Here is a 19,329-nt window from a genome sequence, read left to right as displayed (position 1 = left end):
TGGACACTGTCCCTCTATAGAGTAGCATTCACCAGGACTAAGGAAGACATTCCTTCTCTTGAAAGATTCAGACTGAACCCCATAGAATGACTGTAATAAGTGCATGAAAAGAAGTAAAAAAATACTGTACACTCAGGGAGCCACAGTTAAAGGCCATCATTCTGTATTGTGAAACACCTCCTGATTTCCTGAAATCTACTCAACAATGAAGAAAATACAAAGAGGCCACTGGAATCATTTCTACCTATCTTCTGTTGGGGGTAACGTCTGCAACCTCAGGTGAGCTTTGAGACTTCAAGGCACGTTGCAAAAGGAAAAAACTGAAAGGAAATCGCCCTGTTCGTGGGCCAGAATATATTTCATTCACAAAGAAAAAAAATCTGAACTTTCTGGAATATTTTTAAGCATTGTTCCCAAACAAAATGCTTATCATCTCAAATATAATAATACTGAGTCCTTCCCACTTATAAAAACTGTCCCCAATGCACATGGAGAGTAGTAACTAACCCCATGTGTCAACTTCAAATAAGCCAAGGTATAAAAGGTACAAAACGGCTCCAAAAGGACTATGCTTTGAAAGGAAGGCCTTAAAGCATTTTGCAAACTTCACGTGCACTTGTTTTATATGAATATCTATAGTCACATACAGCATAAAAAGAAAGCTTTGAAAAGGGAAGGAACTCACTGTACAGAAGACAAAACAATACCCTTTTTATTTTTAAAACTCTGGTGAAATAGGTTTCCATAGGACATCCCATTCAAAAAAAAAAATTAATGTAAACCAACCTGCCTGTGGGTTAGTCACACTATACAGACTTCATCAGAGTGTTTACAGATACCTAGAGTATTTACAAATGCTATCCGTTAGGTAGTAAAGTGTTGTTGCAATTTTTCCAGCACATATTCCACAGTAAAATAAAGGGGGTATATTGGTGTTCTTGTATAAAAATTCTTAACAAATAGAGAAAGGCAATTTTCCTGAGAGAAGATTTGTTCTTGAAATATTTTTCTTTAACAATTGGAAATATAAAATGGGATGTAGTTGTAAAAGAAGCATAAGAATGTCTAAGTTAACATTTTTCTTTTAAATTATTTTAAGTACCATTAAGTTAAAATGTTTACATTCATTATAAAAAATGCTGTTAAATCTTATGCAAATGATTTAACACTGATTGCTGCAACGCAAATTGCACTTTTTAAAAAAATTATTGTATACATGGAAGAAAAATATCTTGTTTGCTACCCTGTTTACAAATTCCGACTGACTTCAGATCAGCCACACAATATGAACTTTGAGAAACGTCAGTCACAGTGTATGTTAAAGTTACAATGCAGTCTTGCAAACTGAGTAATATTTTTGATAAGAGACCTCATGAACCGACTCAGCCTCCAGAGATGTGTACCAAATGGCCTCAAGTGATCTTCTCCATGAACGCACATGAAATCTGGATGTGGAAAAGGTATGAAGAAATTCTGGAACAACCAAAATTGATCAGAAGAAGCACATGATTTTGGACAAAATGCAAAATCTTTTTTAAAAAATCTCTCTCAATATTCCATAGCAGGCAAGGCCCAGGTCCTAGTCCTGGCTTCTGGAAGTGGAGCAGGGTCCGCCCCGGAGGCGGGCTGGCTGGAGTGGCCCAAGCGCCCAGTTGCACTGGCCCTTCCCTTCCATCTTCTCTCACTCTTTCAGCAAGCCTCTTGGGAAAAACATCTCTTTCAAAATAAAGGCACGAGAATCACGTTCTGTCAGCGCAGTCGCCACTGTCTGGACCGCTGCACAAAAGCAGACACGAGTGGAGTGAGGCCCGCGGCGGAGCCCTCCCTGCCTCCTGGCGGCGTGGGCTCAGGCCAGGGCCAGGGCGCACCAGGAATCCGGTCGCACGGAGGACGTGACTTCGGCCGGCGAGGCGAGACTGACGCCTATGTAGAGCCCATCTTGACCCGAATACTTGAGCTCGCTGTTCTCGGGATTGGTGCTCTCTCCCGCACCAGTCATCACCGGGGCACCCGCCTGGCAGAAGAGGGGGACACAGAGGAGAGACGAGAAGGTGAGAAGCGGTTACAATCCTGGTAGTGAAATACATGGGAGCTAATGAACGGGTCTGTGCAGCCAGGGCCAGAGCTGCTCCTGGGCAGACCCAGGGCAGGAGAAATGAAGCCGGCGTTACTATCCCCTGCCCCCAGCAAGTGGGGGCCTTTCCCTGCATTGCACACAGTGCCACTGACCTGACCCTGGCCACTTAAGCCTTCGAAACTTTAGAACTCAGGGCAGGAGCCACTGGCAAGATGCAAAGCTGGACAAAAGGAAGGGGAACTGAAGAAATCCTATTTGTAAAAAGTGCCAAGCTCTAAGATCTCTGACTGTGAAACAAACCTCACTGTGTGGGTGAATAGGCATTAATGATGCACACACAACCTGATCATTTCCAAAGAGAAAATGCAGAGCGCACGCATGCGTGCGCGCGCACACACACACACACACACACACACTCTAACAAGGCTTATCCAGTGATGGCAAAGTCTTTTTAGACTTTTTAGAAAAGCTGCACAGTTCAACATTCCCTGATCAGTGAAATTTTTGAACATTGACTTCATGGAAAATAAACCTATGCATATACAGGCTTTAAAATCTACCTCATTTACCTTAATTCTTTACAAGAACAGTCCATGTCTGAAGCAGACCACGTTATAAAGAAAATGCTAACATCCTCTATCTGCCATGATCATGGCAATGATTTCTTTCTTTTTTTTTTTTTTTTTTTTTTTGAAACAGAGTCTCACTGTCTCCCAGGCTGGAGTACAGTGGCACGATCTCAGCTCAGTGCAACCTCCATCTCCTGAGTTCAAGTGATTCTCCTGCCTCAGCCTCCCGAGTAGCTGGGATTACAGGCATGCACCACCACACCTGGCTAATTTTTGTATTTTTAGTAGAGACGGGGTTTCACCATGTTGGCCAGGCTGGTCTCAAACTCCTGACCTCAGGTGATCTGCTTGCCTGGGCCTCCCAGAGTGCTGGGATTACAGGCGTGAGCCACTGTGCCTGGCCACAATGATTTCTTGAAGCACAAGTTCACCTTTGCCCTGTTCCACCCATTCCTCCCATTCACATGAAAAAGGCCAAATAGGAAACATCATATAATTTAGTAAAATCAAACCAAAATAACTAAAATCTGTTTAGACAACAGTTTGAATAAAGTTGCTTTTGAGAAGCTTTTTGAAAAATTTCGCCATAATCATGTACTTTTTAAAATCACCTTTTTCCTTCTAAAAGTTCAGGAGCTCTTATTCCTTCCAAGCTTTCAGGGCTCCATTCTATAAATTACCAGATACTTGTTATTTGACAGAGGTAGGACATTGTGTACTTTTCACAGAATTTCTTTTTTACATACATAATCCCATTAAATCCTTAAAACAGCATTTCTCTGGCACCAGACACAGGCGGAACAGAAAGGAAGTGTGCCGAGCCTCCACGGCCTGCAAGTGAATGAGGTCCAACTCTACTCGTTTTCCAACAAGATCTGGTTTGCTCTCAACCCTCACCATAAGGGCATGAGGCTGGGAGGCAGGACTTCAGGCGAGCAAGCCCTCTGAGTCTAAGCACCCAAACTTCCTTCCTCCCAACCAGACAGACCAAACCCGACCCCTCCACAGGTAACCACTCCTTCCCTTTCCCAGCAGAAATGAGGTTTTATGAAAATCCAGCAACAACACTGGCCCCACACCCAAACTTTTGTTTATATAACACAAATGTAAAGACTTAAACTGAGGGTTTTAGGTGCATTAAAAAGCAAATTTCACAAAAATCAGTGAGATGTCTAAAGCTTCAGATGGATTCTTGTGGCAATTCTGAAAAAGCTAAAATAATCCTGTCCAACAAACTGAATGCCATAAACTTGGTTATACTTATAAACATAGTGATTAACTTTAGCCCTTAATTCCAGAGACTCCACCAGAAGCAAATCCAGTGTGGATCCAGATTTAACCCTCAAAGAAATAAGCAAAAGGATGATATTCAATTACAAAAGAATTATTTATTTAGAAAGGAACTATTAGAGTGAGCTTCCTTATAATGATACATCTCACGTCCAACTTTGCATTGATTTTCTTATTCGAAAACAGGCACATCAGCATATGCCTCTGACTAAATCTGACTTCACCGCAACAAGTGTTATTTTCTGAAATGGAGAGGGTTCCTGAACTGGCCCAGGAAATAGCCCATCTCAAATGGCAGGGAAGTGCCAAGACAGCAGAGGGATCTGTCACCACCACCACAGCCAGCAACAAGAAGCATAAGCAGGCTGGGCACGGTGGCTCGTGCCTTTAATCCCAACACTTTGGGAAGCCGAGGAGGGAGGATTACTTAAGCCCAGGAATTTGAGACCAGCCTGGGCAACATTGGGAGACCCCGTCTCTACAAAAAATACAAAAGTTAGCTGGGCATGTAGTCCCAGCTATTTGGGGAGCCGAGATGGAAGGATTGCTTGAGTCTAGGTGATGAAGGCTGCAGTGAGCTACGATTGCATCACTGCACTCCAGCCTAAGGGACAGAGCAAGACCCTGTCTCTAAAAAGTAAAAATTAAAAAAAAAAAAAGAAAGAAAGAGAAGAAAAAAAGAAACATTGGCAAAGCAACAACTGACAGCCAGACACTAGATCAGGAGCCTGAAAGATAGTCAACTGCCCCAGGAGCTCCCAGGCTTTGTGGGGAGCCAGGATCCATACACATTAGAAAGTCGACTGTTGGCTGCTTATCATGAACAACAAATGAGTGGCTGAGACAGGAAGGTAGACCAAGAGTCAGAAAAGGAATAGCAGAGGGCAAGGACTCCTGGGCAAGGAACCAAAGGCAGCCCACACAGGAGTATGAGAAGGAGGGGAAGCAGCTTGGACTCTCAAGTCCTGTCCTGATTCAGTCCCCTGCTGAGTGCAGTCCCCCCTGAGCCTCCTCTGTGCCTGGGTCCTCACATTTCCCACCTCAGGGATGGTTGCGACAATTAAATGAGCTAACGTTTGTAAAAGCGAAGGCAAGGTGCCTTGCCATGTTAAACATTCCGTAAAGGGAAGCTATTGTTATTGGCGAGAGAAGGATGTTCAAAATGGGAGGCAGGGCGGATGAAGAGAGGTGGTCACCTGGCCTGTTCAGAAGAAAAGCCAGCTGAAAAACAGAAGGATGAAGCAAAAGAGTGAACAGACCATGTGGGAGAGGTAAACCAGAAGCCTGACATACAGCTTTGTGTGCCTCAGTTTCCACACCTATAAAGTGGGATAAAAAGAGGCACCTATGCCATAAGATTATTGCAAGAATTAAATTGGCTAGGCCAGGCGCGGTGGCCCACGCCTGCAATCCCTGCACTTTAGAGAGGCCGAGGCAGGTGGATCACCTTAGGTCAGGAGTTTGAGACCAGCCTGACCAACATGGTGAAACCTCATCTCTACTGACACAAAAAAATTAGCCGAGCAAGGTGGAGCATGCTTGTAATCCCAGCTACTCAGAAGGCTGAGGCAGGTTGCAGTGAGCCGAGATTGCACCATTGCACTCCAGTCTGGGCAACAAAAGTGAAACTCCATCTCAAAAAAAAAAAAAAAAAGAATTGGCTAATATATGTAAAGCCCTTGTAACAGTGTCTGAGAACAGTAAAGATTATGTCAGTATAAGCTACTCTTGTTATCTAATTATTATTGTTAAGGTTAAGAGGCTTGGATCTAATTTATTCTCCTCATTCTATCCTTCAGCCCAAGCAAGTTACCCCATCACCAGGCAGGGGCAGAAGCAGTCGGAACACAGTTGGAGCTCAAAGAGAACCACCTCCAGAATGACCCTATTCAAACTGTCACTGACAGTTCTTCGCAAAAATAAATCAAAGTGTTCTGTAGCCATTCAAAAGTCTCATGACTCTTTCTCTTTTTTATTTTATTTTTTATTTTTGAGACAGGGTCTTGCTCTGTCATCCAGGCTGGAGTGCACTGGGTGTGATCTTGGCTCACTGCAACCTCCACCTCCTGGGCTGAAGAGATCCTCCCATCTCAGCCTCTCGAATAACTGGGACCACAAGCATGTGCCACCATGCCCAGCTAATTTTTGTATTTTTTGTAAAGATGGGGTTTCACCATGTTGCCTAGGCTGTTCTCAAACTCCTGAGCTCAAGGGATCCACCTGCCTCAGCCTCCCAAAGTGCTGGGATCACAGGCACGAGCTACCACACCTGGTGACTCACTGACTCTTTTTCAACAACCCACATTAAAGAAACGTTAACACCCTGAATGTTATTCTTACACCTGAATAACAATCCCAAAAGCAATTGGCGAAAATAACCTGTCTTTTTTTCAGACAAAATGTTAAGCTATTTGGCAGGCCAAGAGTCCTGCTATCAAAGGGCAGACAGACCTCAAATTCCATGAGTGATGCACTCCTAGAAATAAATCTGCTCATTTGCAATTAAAAGCAATAGCTGAGCCTGTCAGAAAAAAAATGGGGCAAGTATTTGTGCCCAATGCTTGGTAGCCTTATTTTATGTGTACATATAATAATATTTAAACATGAAATACTGCAAAGAAAGGCTGATGTTACTTACATGGTAACACCAGTCCCCTCACTCATGGCTGGCGGAGCTAAATTCTGGTACACCCACCTTACAGAAGGCAGTTAGCTGCAATGTCAAGAGCCATCCAGAAGTTTAGACCCTACTTCGCCCTATAATTTCACTTCTGGAAATGTATTATAAGGAAATAATTCAAAAGAAGGGAAAGGCTCCGCAAAGGAAGCCAACCGTTGCAAGGTTACTTCTAATAGTAGAAACTATAGAAACAATCTAATGTCTAATAATATGGGAACGGTTTAGAAAAGCAGGGCACATCCGCTCAATGAACTATTATGCAATTATTAAAAATAATAAGATCATGGAGCAAAATGGAAAAAATCCTGTAATACCATGTTAAGTGAAAAACAGCAAGATATGAATTACACGTCATAACTGCAATTTATCCATGCACATGTGTAAGTATTACAAAGGTCCCCTGGGAGGAGGGGAGAAACAGGGGACTAGCTGAGAGGGCCAAGTCTATTAGCCATCTATACCTTTCTTTGAATATTTTTCTTTGAATACTTAAATTGAATTGCATAGTAAATCTATTTAGGTTGTTGCCAAAGTAATTGCAGTTTTTGGCATTGAAAGTAATGACAAAACCCACAATTACTTTTGCACCAACCTAATAACTTTGGGGATGAATAGAAGACATGAGTACCAGAAACACAAGGCACTTGAGGGACAAGCCAACCTTCATGGGATCAGAAAGTGGCTTGAAAAAATAGGAGGGAACCAGAGTCGAGGCACTAACAGGAGGGCGGGTCAGAAGGGCCCCCATCCGCCCCTGAAATCATCTCCCTGCCACCTGGCACAGGCCAGGGCCTGGCCAGCCACGCACATGTGAATCTCACAGTTCTATACAAGTTAAAACAATCAACACGTCAGCTCCATGCATCAGCGTAACTTCAGCTCTCAAAACCGATATTCTCTCACTCTGTCGCCCAGGCTGGAGTGCAGTGGTGGTATCTCGGCTCACTACAACCTCCGCCTCCCGAGTTCAAGTGAGTCTCCTGCCTCAGTCTCCAGAGTAGCTGGGATTACAGGCGCCCACCACTACACTCGGCTAATTTTTGTATTTTTAGTAGAGTTAGGGTTTCACCATATTGGCCAGGCTGATCTCGAACTCCTGACCTCAAGTGATCCGCCTGCCTCGACCTCCCAAAGTACTGGGATTACAGGCATGAGCCACCGTGCCTGGCCTCTAAACCAATATTCTAAAAGTAGAAGGCGTTCAGAGTTGGCACAGCTACTCTTCTTAAGAAGCCTGGCTTTGTCCTGTTATTGTTCATCTTTTAAGTCCCTTTCCCTCACTGATGATAGTCAAGAGATGCCTACTGAGAATCAACACGATGTGTGTGTGTTGGGAGGGGGGGGCGGAGGGGGGAAATCAGAGAAAAATATACTATGATCCTGGACCTAATACACACACATACAAACACACGTATAAATTTCAATTGGTTGATATATTTTCCCACAAATAATTCAACCCTTCAAAGGACTTTAGTTCAGATCGCAGACATCACAACCCTGCAAAAGCAGGCACTTCACTAACCTAGACCAACCTAAACAAACGTTCCTGAACAAAAGGGAGGGAGAGCTCCGGAATGCCCACAGCTCAACCATCCTCCCTCCTTTCGGCAGGCAGCACAGGCCAGGCGGAGGTCCCTGCTCTCTCCCTGATCAAAGTGCAAGGAGGGTGGAGCAGAAATCGGCTCTGTGTTTCCATTCAAGGCTTATCTGCCCTCCACCCTCCCACAGACAACTGAAAATGGAGGCACTTCCTGTTGAAAGAATGTGTTATCAGGGCCAGACCCAGCCTGGGCTTAGCACTGAAAGCTGGCCGGGTTAGGTGGGAGACAGGCAGAGCAGCTGGGCTGGAAAACTCCCTCTTAAAGGAGTAAATGACTTCAGGGAGAGCTTGGGCTGCTACAGATTGGGACATGGAAAATATCCGCTAGCCTGAGAAGTAGCCACAGTTCATCTTTAGATCACCTAGAATTTTTTTTTTTTTTTCCTGTGAGGAGCCTTCACTCATTTTTGGACACATATCTGAAAAGTCAAAGATTTCTGATTGGATCAACTCATGGAGACAAATGCCCAGCAGTGTCTCTGTTTTCCTTCATTTCGCACATCCCATAATGGGGAGGGCAAGAGACAGCTTCTGATGGGAAGGCAACACAGCCGAGAAAAGGAAACCCTGAAAGGGCGTAGCCTTTTCCAAAGAAAAACATGGGTTCTTCGGCTTGTGGATTACATGCATAAATTTCCTTTGAGGAAGAAAACCAGAGAGGAGTGTACGGGGCATGCTCTATCTTCCTTGCTGGAATCTCTCTTCATGCAGTTTCGGTCTGAGGAAAGAAAACACTGCGCCCCAGGCAGGCTGAAGGACGACTGTGTGATCCTTCCCAGAGCAGAAGACTTTGATGGTGATCACATGCCTCCTTCACTGCAAGGCAGACTGTCGGCTCCCCCAGCCTCTGATCCGTCCTTCCTACACATCTGAGTGAGACTGTGCTTACGGCTTTTTCTTGTGTGAGGGGAAGCCAGCCGTCCCTCACTGCCAAAGCTCTTCTCTGCTTTTGTAACCTCTAGGTTAGACTCCTGTGGTGCTTTATAGCTGCCTTCCTCCAAAGAGGAATTAAAAACTTTGTATAAATTCCAACAAAGGGGAAATGCTTTCCTGCAAATCGTAACTTCCACTATATAAACTACGATCATTTCAGTTTGGCTGGAGGTAACAGAGGACCAGATACAAAGTGACAGTAATAGTTTAGAAGGTGACACATGAAAGACACATGAACACACACAAATTCTGTCTCCACCAGGACATGTGAAAACCAATCACAATGAAACTCTCGAATTCTTAACAGCTTAATAAAACAAAGGAACATGGACACCTTTTCTCTAGAGAGAGAGTCACCGTCACCTCAACTGATGACCTAACTATTCAGCAGAATAGTTTTGTATATTTAATTCGGCAAACAAATTCCTTACTGGAAATTTCACCGGCTGCTCCCCCACTCTGCCCCAACCCATACCCCTCTCGCCCCTTCTAGGCCTGAGTAGGCAAGGTTATAGCCACACCAAGGGATGCTGCCCTTTTCAAGAAGACGAAAGCAATTCTATGCACATAATCTATTCTGGACAAAAGAGCAAATTGCTTTATGTATCTGTGCACACTCAACAGCAAGCATGTTGTGGTGAAGAAAGGCGCCAAACTTTATAAGTACTCTGGGATTATCACCAAAATACTCATGTACAAATATAAATTGCAAGGGAGAGGGTTTGTCCCACAACTTGAAGTCAATGAGGACCCTAAAGAAAAAGCTTATCTTCTAAATGAATCAGAATGAATTACACTATTCTAATCTTCAAATTAAGTGGGACAGAATCCTGAGGCAAGATTTAAAACCTGGTGAATTATGATCTTAATTTTTATAACAAAACTGACTTTTCAGGAGATGGATGAGCATCTTAATCTCTCCATCTTAATTACAGAAAACATACCAAGAAGCATTTACAATGCACTTAAACCACAAAAAGCATTAGGAAAGTACTAAGTATCAGAAGGAATAAAAAATTTGCTATCAGTGAAATACAAATCTCTAAAATGTGGTTACTTTCTTAACACAATAACTCTACGTCTCTAAATTTCCCCATTAAGAAAGTGAGGATCTTATTCTAATATCTTGGGATGAAAAAAAATGCCACGCAAATAAAGCTGATTACTATTAACTTCCAAGACCCGTATTTAAGTAGTGCTATTCTTCTTAAACTTCAAAGAGGTCTCCAGGCATCTCCCACTCACTCTACACAATACTCCTAAGGACCAGATGGTAGGAATTACTTTTCCCCTTTAGTAGAAGGAGGAAAACAGAGGCTTTACAGAACCTTGGCAGCTTGCTATACTCACACAGACAGAGCTGGAGCTAGCGCCTGGCTGCTGGAATCTGTTTCCTCCCAGCTGCTAATCCGTGAACCCCCAGAATAAACTTTTGACCATATTCAGGCTTCACCACGAATCAAGCAACTAAATTTAATGAGAGCTTTAAATGTAAAATACTTGTGTTTAATAAAATAAAAATATGGTTCTGCAGCATGTGGCCCAGCTCTGGTGAAACCGTGCCAGGCCAACAACCAAAACAGGCAGCACACCATCAAGTCGGATCATGATTTAAGCATCGTCAGATGTTGACTTGGAACCGTTTACTCGTAAGACCCCAACAGGACATTAGAATCAATGCCTAGTTATGTATTTGTCCAAATCATTCTTAAAATATGAGGTCAATAAAATAATGTCTTTGTGCTCAGTCTCACAAATTCTGAGTACTGGGCCTTTAAAAAAGCCTGATGTGATGGGTAGCTGAGTGGTGAATTGTCACATTGCCAACACCTGTCTATGGAGATGCTTTTTTAAATTATTAAAATTTCAGAGAAAATTAACAGGTAGGTCTAAACATGAACAGAACTAACAGATTGTACTTAATTCATATCCACTGGATCTTCATACTGCTAGTAACTCTTCTGGCAGACACCCATGAAATGCATAATAAATTACTTTTGTTCCAGTAAAGGAATTCGTTTTCTTCGAAGATTCATTTAGCAATAACCTTTCAGAGCAATCTAAGCCAGATTTCTTAAATTTGGCCATGTTTTCCCGTAACATTATTTCATGTTTTCTGACAATTTTGTATATTCTTATAGAGGCGTTGGGGGGGCGGGTGGGAGAAAACTGCAAAGAATCTGTAATTTGCAAAGAAGAGCTGTATTCTGGGATGAGGCTATAAGAAATGGTGAATAACTTCTGCCCACACTTATTCTTTATCCAGTATTCTGGCTATCAGATAGTGATAATGAGTCACTTATTAAATAAACCACAATTCTGTGATAAATTATGTGGACATATGTTACAAACTATTTAAAGCTTTACTGTTTCCTAATGTACAAAGCCATTGGATATTGATGTAGCACACAATGCATTTTTAAACTACTTCTTACCATCCTCCCTGTCACACACACACACACACACACACACACACACACACACACACGAGATTTAAAAAAAAAAAAAAAGGAAGTCTAGAAAAAGCCTTGAGATCAGAATGAAAGTATGCAAATCCGCATGCTTGAACATTCCCTGCCGGGGTGACGTGTGACTTTCACGCAAAGGCCAATGTGGTCAGACAAGAACGTGAGTTATTAGAAGGGGCTGTGAACATAGAAAGAAAGGGAGCCTGGCACATAGGGAGCATGAAGATAAAATGCCAACAAAATATTTATGTTCATGGCTTGTAGCATGTGGCAAGTGGGATATTAATAACTGTGATGATTGGTCAACTCCCTGGGAGTGGTAACAGCCCTGGACTGGGAGGCAGGAGACGTCGGTTCCAGTCCCGGCTTCAATACTGGCTTGTTTTGTGACCTTAAGGAGTCACTCCGGATCTTGGTTTATAAATGAGGCAATAATAATACCTAACCACATAACTCTCTCACAGACCCTTTGGGAGATTAATGATTTTTTAACCCCTTTGCTACTCATTTAGAAAAGAGTGTTTTGGACGATAGACTGAAAAAAAAAACAGGCACTTCACTATTAAGAAATGCTTTTTCAGTAATTTCTTCATAAACATTCATTGAAGACAATTTTAACATTCTGAAAAGTTCCAAAACAGCATTTGTTTGTGTATGGATTTAAATCGCAGCATTAGAAGGATTTCAGTATGGCAATCTTGTGTTTCTCTTAAAAGAACCTTGTTATAACCACATTAGGTATGTCAACAAAAGTAATTTTTACTACTTTTTTTTTAACTTAATGTTACCCAACTGCCATATTCTTAGTACCATTACACATTTGATTTCTAAGTATAACATTGATAAGAAAATTTGCATTAACTGTCTTAAATACATTCTTGGTCAAGAGCAAATAACTTCTCACAGTTTTCCCACCTGTTTCAGTGGGAGGATATGTGATGCTAAAATTATTAATCAAACTAGTCCAATTTCTTTAAGAAAACATTCTTTCTTCTCTCTGAAGATTTCAAAGAAATGAACTAATATCGCATATTAATCTAACACGCTGTAGTGGCAACAACACTGACCGCATCAGCCAGACCTGCGGCCAACGTGAAACCACGCGTCTCAATTTGACACGTGACCTTGGAACTGTTCTTTACCTTCTGCATCTCACTTAGAAGGAGGAGTAAAAAATAAAATGTATCTAAAACACCTGGCACATAAAAGGTACCTGATAGAAACTAATTTCCTGCCTCCCTATGTTCACTATCTTATAAGTGAGTGAGTATTAGGAAAGGGAAAAACTTCCTCAAAGCAAGATCACTATGAGAAAATCGAAGACCAATCCACCACTGTTTGGCTCTCGAGTCCTCTAGAAGCTCTGTGGCATATTCAAGTTAAAAATGAAGCACTAATTTTCTGCTCCAGCCCCAGCAGGCTCTTGCATCAGAGCTCGCCTTCATACTTTCCTCTGAGCAACTTAACAGTATAAGCACAGCATAAGTCCTTCACAAATGTTCCTTTCAGCTCTTTCACAGGAACTATAATTTTGTGACCAACCATAGTGCACAGTAAATCAAAAAAAAATTCCATTACTTGAAGAAAAAGACAGTGGAGTGTAAATCTGCTAATAAAGAACCCCCCTGCACTGGAAAATGCATAGTAAGCTACAGGACCTACTAAGGTGTTTTTCTATTTCCACCACAGGATGCAAATATTATATATGAAATAAAATCCATGAAAACAATTTAAAATATTTACCTGCCTAAGCTTTCTTCAGAGGCCTTATAGAGCACATCAAATAATCTTAACTTGAGTCAGTCTCTAGATCACTGCTGTTGGCCACAAGCACTTATGGGTGCTTAACTCCTTCAAACGACCACGCAGCTCAGGAGTGACTACAGTAGGGAAATAGGTCTAGCTAAGCACACAGTGTCCCAGAAGCACACAGGGGACGGGAACGATGACGCCTATTTACTAGCAAGAAACAGACCAAAAGAGTGGTTAAGGCCCACCCATCCAGGCCCAGATGCAGCTGGCGAGGAACCTAAGTCTCTATCTCTCAGCCTATTGTCCACCTCTCTTTGTGGAAGTTATATATCACCAGCAATGCCCCACAAAGGTGAGGAAACACATTTCCTATCCCTAATACACCATGTCTAATATGTTTCCATTAGAAGAGGTAGCCAGGCAGCCACTCCAACCATCCTGCCCCCAGGATCCCTGGAGGCAGAGAAATTACAGTACAGGCCTAAAGAAGGTCAGCGCATAGAATCAGCTGGCAGATGTTTTTCCTCCCTAATTGTGAGGAGGAAACTCTGCTTGTAAACTTGACAAGCAGGAGCATGCTACATTTGTTTACATCAATTATCAAAATACAGAACGCTCCAGTAAGAAGGTCCTAATTGTTGGACTCCAGTGTACAGACAGAAAACACATTTGTCACCGAAGCAGGATTTAAATAAAGTCCATCGTTGATTTGAAATATTTTCAAGTATCTACTTTCCACCCGTTCTACCAGCCTCACTTCCTGCCTTTGGCTTCTTACCCCCTACACTCCAGTCACAATGAACTAACTATTTCCCTTCAGCTCCAAAGATTCCTATGCCTTCTTCTTTCCTGGATACCTCTATCCCAATTTTTCCCCTGCAAAAATCCTAACTAATTTTAATTTCCTCTACTCTGCGGAGCCATCTCCAACTCTAGTTATCACTCCTTTAAAGCACGTCCAAATCTGACCAGTAGTAAGATCTACATCTATACCTGTCTCTCTCTACCCACCCCTACCACCTCCATGTTTTAAACAATTCCAGATGTGGCACTTTGTTTTACTCAAATGGAACAAAGACCAGTAAAGCAAGGGCTGGTCATATATATTTCTCTCTCCATTTAACTTCAACACTTTATGTTTAATGATGATTTCAATATTATATTGGTAGTTTTAATATTAACTTAAATAGGGTTTACTTTTTTTTCATTTTTTTTTTAAACTAGAAATAGAGACAGAAATCTTGCTATGTTGCCCAGGCTGATCTCAAACTCCTAGTCTCAAGTGATCCTCCAGCCTCAGTCTCCCAAAGAACTGGGATTACAGGCGTGAGCCACTGCACCTGGCCTAATTTTTAAAGTAATTATTTATAGAAACTATTTTTAGGCAGGCAAAATATGTTCAGTGACTCCTTGTTCTCAGACATTGTCTTATTGCTAATTTTTTTTTCTTTTTTTCTGTAGCTGCCATTTTCAGATATTATTGCTAATTTCATCTCCAAGTTAATCCCTCCTATTACAAAAGAAATTAAGAAAAAAACTTTTTATCTATAAAATTTGGGGATTGAGCTATAAAGTATCCTCCAGTTTTACAAATTTTGAGTTATAGGAGGAGAAATAGGAGGAGTAGGACCATTTGTGGACTACTTATTAAATCTTATTGCAGAAACAGAACATTACCATGTTTCTCTCCTAAATAACAACCAAAAAAAACTATAAAATACAATTCAGTCAATAAACGGAATTCAAGAAAAAAAAGATTTTAGTATTCTTACAATCCATAGAGAATAAAAGCCAAAGAAAAAAAATTTTTTTTTTTTTCTGAGACAGAGTTTTGCTCTTGTTGCCCAGGCTGGGGTGCAATGGTGCAATCTCAGCTCACTGCAACCTGCAACTCCCAGGTTCAAGAGATTCTCTTGCCTCAGCCTCCAGAGTAGCTGGGATTACAGGCATGCGCCACCGTGCCTGGCTAAGTTTGTATTTTTAGTAGAGACGGGGTTTCTCCATGTTGGTCAGGCTGGTCTCAAACTCCTGACCTCAGGTGATCAACCCACCTCAGCCTCCCAAAGTGCTGGGATTAAAGGGGTGAGCCACCGCACCCAGCCCAAAGAAAAACTGATATCTATTTAGATCAACTAAATATACATTTTTTAGTAAATCTGCATGGATAAGAAAATTCTTAGCCAGAAAGAAAGACTATTTTTGCCACAGAAAGCAACCATTTATCAAAAATTTAAGTTTAACATACATTTTTAATAAACAAAAATAATTTCAAAAGAAAAAAATAGGCAATATTTTAAGCAGGGCTGTATGACCGTGAGTCCTCCTGATTTCAGACAGAAACACACTGCCCTCCCTGTGCCTCCAGCACATGCACAGCCTATAACCAAGAGAAACTGAGTCATAAGGTGGCAAGGTCATCGACTTGCTGACTCTTATCTGAAGGAATGTCTCCTTTTTGCCCAGACACAGGTCTCATGAAGGCACAGATTAACAAGTATATAAAGCTAAGACATGAGGCTTCAGAGCAGCACAAAAATTTTCGTGGCATTAGGACAACTTATCCTGGAAGAATGCCGTGCACTAGGAATTATGCCCACACCTTCATTCCTGCTAGGGGAGGGGAGCCCTGGAGCCCCCTCTCCCAGAAGCAGACAACCACGATAGACCCCTTCCACAATACTCAGCTCCTGTGGCTCCTTTCGTCCTGGCCAAGAGAGCTCAGGACTCTGTGTCATGCTAAGGTCCTGGTGCCATCACTTAAATGGCCACGTGAAAGGCAGGTCAGAACCCTGTTCCTGTCATGTCCCAGGACTTACAATAAGCCTGCTGGGAATGCCTACCGGTGATCTCCTACAACTGATTTTTCAGTGGGGAATTAAAGTAAACAGCATGTTTCATGTGGGCCTCTGGAACAGTTTTTTACTTCCTTGCTATAACTCACAGTCATTAAAGAAAGGCAGTGATACTGCTACTTACATCTCTAAATGGAGGGATATGTGGCCCCCAGTTCCACCTTCTGCTGGGAGGGTGCCTAAGATCGCCCTTTGCTTTGTAGTTCCGTGGCCCCATCAAACGAGGGTCACCCTGCACTACTAATTTCTACCAGTCAGTCACAGGGAGCACTGGAGATCCGTGGGGTGGACGCATTACCTTAGGAGGCTTAAACTCCAAGCCAACCTCGGTGCTGTGTATGTAATACATATACTTTGTAAACACCAGATACAACCTTGCTATGTGGATCTGATATTTTCTTCACCCACAGCATTTCACAAAATCCTACAGGCAATCAGTCACAAAGCCAGCTGCCCTCTAACATTATGCACTGTGACCAAAATGGGAAAATGACACACCTTTGTCAACACAGGCACCTTTTAGAAATGCTTCTACCAGCTGCTCACAGATGGCTCCTCCAGCAGACTCTTCACAGCTACTCGGCAGCCACATGGGCCATGCCATACACATGAAGGCTCAGCCCACCCAGAGAGGACATCAAAAAGTGCGAAGGGATCCACAGTTATACGCAGGCACGCCATGAAAACAACCTGGGGACACCACTCAAGCCTACTACAGGTATTCTTACAGGGGGACAGCTTCCAAAGGCAGCCAGCAGACGAGTAGCTGTTTCCCCACAATGGCCACAGCAGGTAGAGGCTTTTGGAGACATCCATGAAATAAAACCCTGCAAGCCCAGGCACCAGCCGTGTGTGCCCTCGGAACAAGGCCAAGAGTCAGTCCCTGGGGAACTGGGGAGGTTGGTAGGCAGGCCAGCAACCCTACCCCCTGCCCTGGTAATGGCAGTCAGTGTTTCTGCTGCGCAGCCCAGAGGCTGGAGAGCTCGGAGAGATGCCCCCTGGCTGCAGCTCACACCAGCCACTCCCAGCTTCTCAGTCCCCGTGGAGGCTGCCTAGACTACCGCAGGGATGGAAGCTTGCAGCTGAAGACCTGGTGTGAAACTAGTACTCTCCAACCCCATCCTTAACATCCTTGTTGCTTTGCCTCCTGGCCTCTGGTGGGGAACTGATCTTTCCTCTGAAGGGCATTGACCAGCAAGCCACCTCCATCTGCTCTGTCCCTGGTGAGAGTTCCTGGGACAATAAGCCTAGGACCAGAGATGGAACTCCCAAGGCCCTTCTTCTAGCCAGACCATGGCCCTTTTCACTGGCTTTTCACTCCTTTCGCTGGACAGCAACCGATAGGACTTGCTAATAGCAAATTTTGAAATTTTACGTCACAAAATCACAAGACTCCACCCACAATGGTTCCAAGTCCCCGAAGCCCATTGTTGGGTATATATCGACCTCAGTGCAATTTATCATTCAAATTAGTCTTTTTGCCACATTTAAGCTGGACTGTACCACCAACAAAAGTGACTTGGAGCTGGCAGCAGTCCTCATTTCAGCTAGGAGAGAGGCGGCTCCCTCCCTGCTTTAGAAAACCAAATTGTTTTGCCTCTAGCTACATAATTGCTCCTGAGGACTACGGCATAATAAAGGATATTTTTAGGCCAGGCGCGGTGACTCATGCCTGTAATCCTAGCACTTTGGGAGGCTGAGGTAGGTGGATCACTTGAGGACAGGAGTTCGAGACCACCCTGGCCAACATGGTGAAACCCCGTCTCTACTAACTATACAAAAAAAAATTAGCCAGGTGAGTTGGTGTATGCCTGTAATTCTAGCTTCTCGGGAGGCTGAAGTGGGAGGATTGCTTGAATCCGGGAAGTGGAGGTTGCAGTGAGCCGAGATTGCGCCACTGCACACTCCAGCCTCGGTGACAGCAAGACTCAGCCTCAAAAAAAAAATAATTATTATTAAATAATCTTTTCATTTCCCAAGAAACATGTTCTATTTACCACTTTCAATCCTCAGTTACATCTAACCTGCCTGTAAAACACAACACCATAGCATGGAGTCCACCTTTATAAAGCCTAGAAACATTCTTTACCATGAGTCTGCAAAAAAAAAAACAACTAAAAGGCTTCTTCCCTTGTGAAACTCTAAAAAGACGTTTTGTTTCCTTACAGAAAAGGCTCAAAAGAATTTGGGTAGGAGGACAAAGAAAAATATCAAATATAATTTTAAGCACAGTTTAAACATTTTGTTTTAAATATTTAATTTTTGTTTGTTAAAGCCAGTAAAAATACAGTGGAAAGAAACCAGGTCTGTGGTTCCCAAACACCTCCGGGGCAGTAGTTCCAATTTCACCTGGGGCACTTGTTCAACAACAGATAGATATCCAAGTCCCACACCCAGAGACTCTGACTTGGAAAATCCAGGGTGGGGCCCAGGAATCTGTAGTATTTTAAAGTACCCCAAATAATTTCAGGAGAAAACTAAATGTAGAAAACAATTACTAAGTAAATAGGCATTTAAATGCTGGTGTTTAGTCCTAATCTTGTCTCAGTGTAGTCCCAAGGGTCACAAGGACACATTTTAAAGTCCTGCTTGCCGCAGGCCCTGCCTTGGAGCTCACTGACGTCTGAGGGAAGGCCCAGTATTTTTTAGAAGGGCATTCCAGGTAAATTTGGGAAACATTAGGGTGGGAAAATGCTCTCTACTAGAGGCAAACTGAGTTTTGGTCACAGCTTTATAAGAAACTAAGTCTGTGATCCTCACGAAGACCCAGGCATCTCCTGTCCACAGTGGCACAAATCACTCCTAGGTTTTGTCATAGCTGAAATAAACGCCAGTACAATTAAGGTACATTAGAAGAAGGCAAGCTCTCCCAGCAAGAACACAATTGGGCAAAGGAAATAGTGAATACAGCAGCATATAACACTTTATGATGAGCTTTGCTTTGGGTGGATGATAAAAAAAGAAAAAAAGGCTGGAATTGATAGGATAAACAAAAGCTACTTAACTGTTATGGGCACTGTAATCTATGAAACCACTGGCCTCATAGTTCTTATGATCTACATCGGAAATACATAAATATACACATATAATATATATAGCAACTCTGAT

At 42.7% G+C, this 19,329-nt stretch overlaps 1 protein-coding gene across 2 annotated transcripts in view, besides 1 other annotated feature; it reads right to left on the bottom strand.

Annotated features, from left to right (window-relative positions):
- Window positions 142-19,329, bottom strand: part of GATA6 (GATA binding protein 6) — a 32,940-nt gene continuing 13,752 nt past the window's right edge. For both annotated transcript variants that reach the window (NM_005257.6, XM_047437483.1), the window contains exon 7: window positions 142-2,014. In NM_005257.6, coding sequence (NP_005248.2) covers window positions 1,847-2,014 — 168 coding nt within the window. In that variant the 3' untranslated portion in view covers window positions 142-1,846. The remainder of the gene's footprint in view (window positions 2,015-19,329) is intronic.
- Window positions 8,100-8,648: an enhancer, noted in NCBI's record as "VISTA enhancer hs502". NCBI's record gives its function as "enhancer in: heart[8/11]" and the evidence as "EXISTENCE:transgenic organism evidence [ECO:0001131][PMID:17130149]".

Source organism: Homo sapiens, chromosome 18 (genome assembly GCF_000001405.40).
Source record: "Homo sapiens chromosome 18, GRCh38.p14 Primary Assembly".
Taxonomy (NCBI): Eukaryota; Metazoa; Chordata; class Mammalia; order Primates; family Hominidae; genus Homo; species Homo sapiens.
This window is presented reverse-complemented; position numbering and strand designations above follow the sequence as displayed.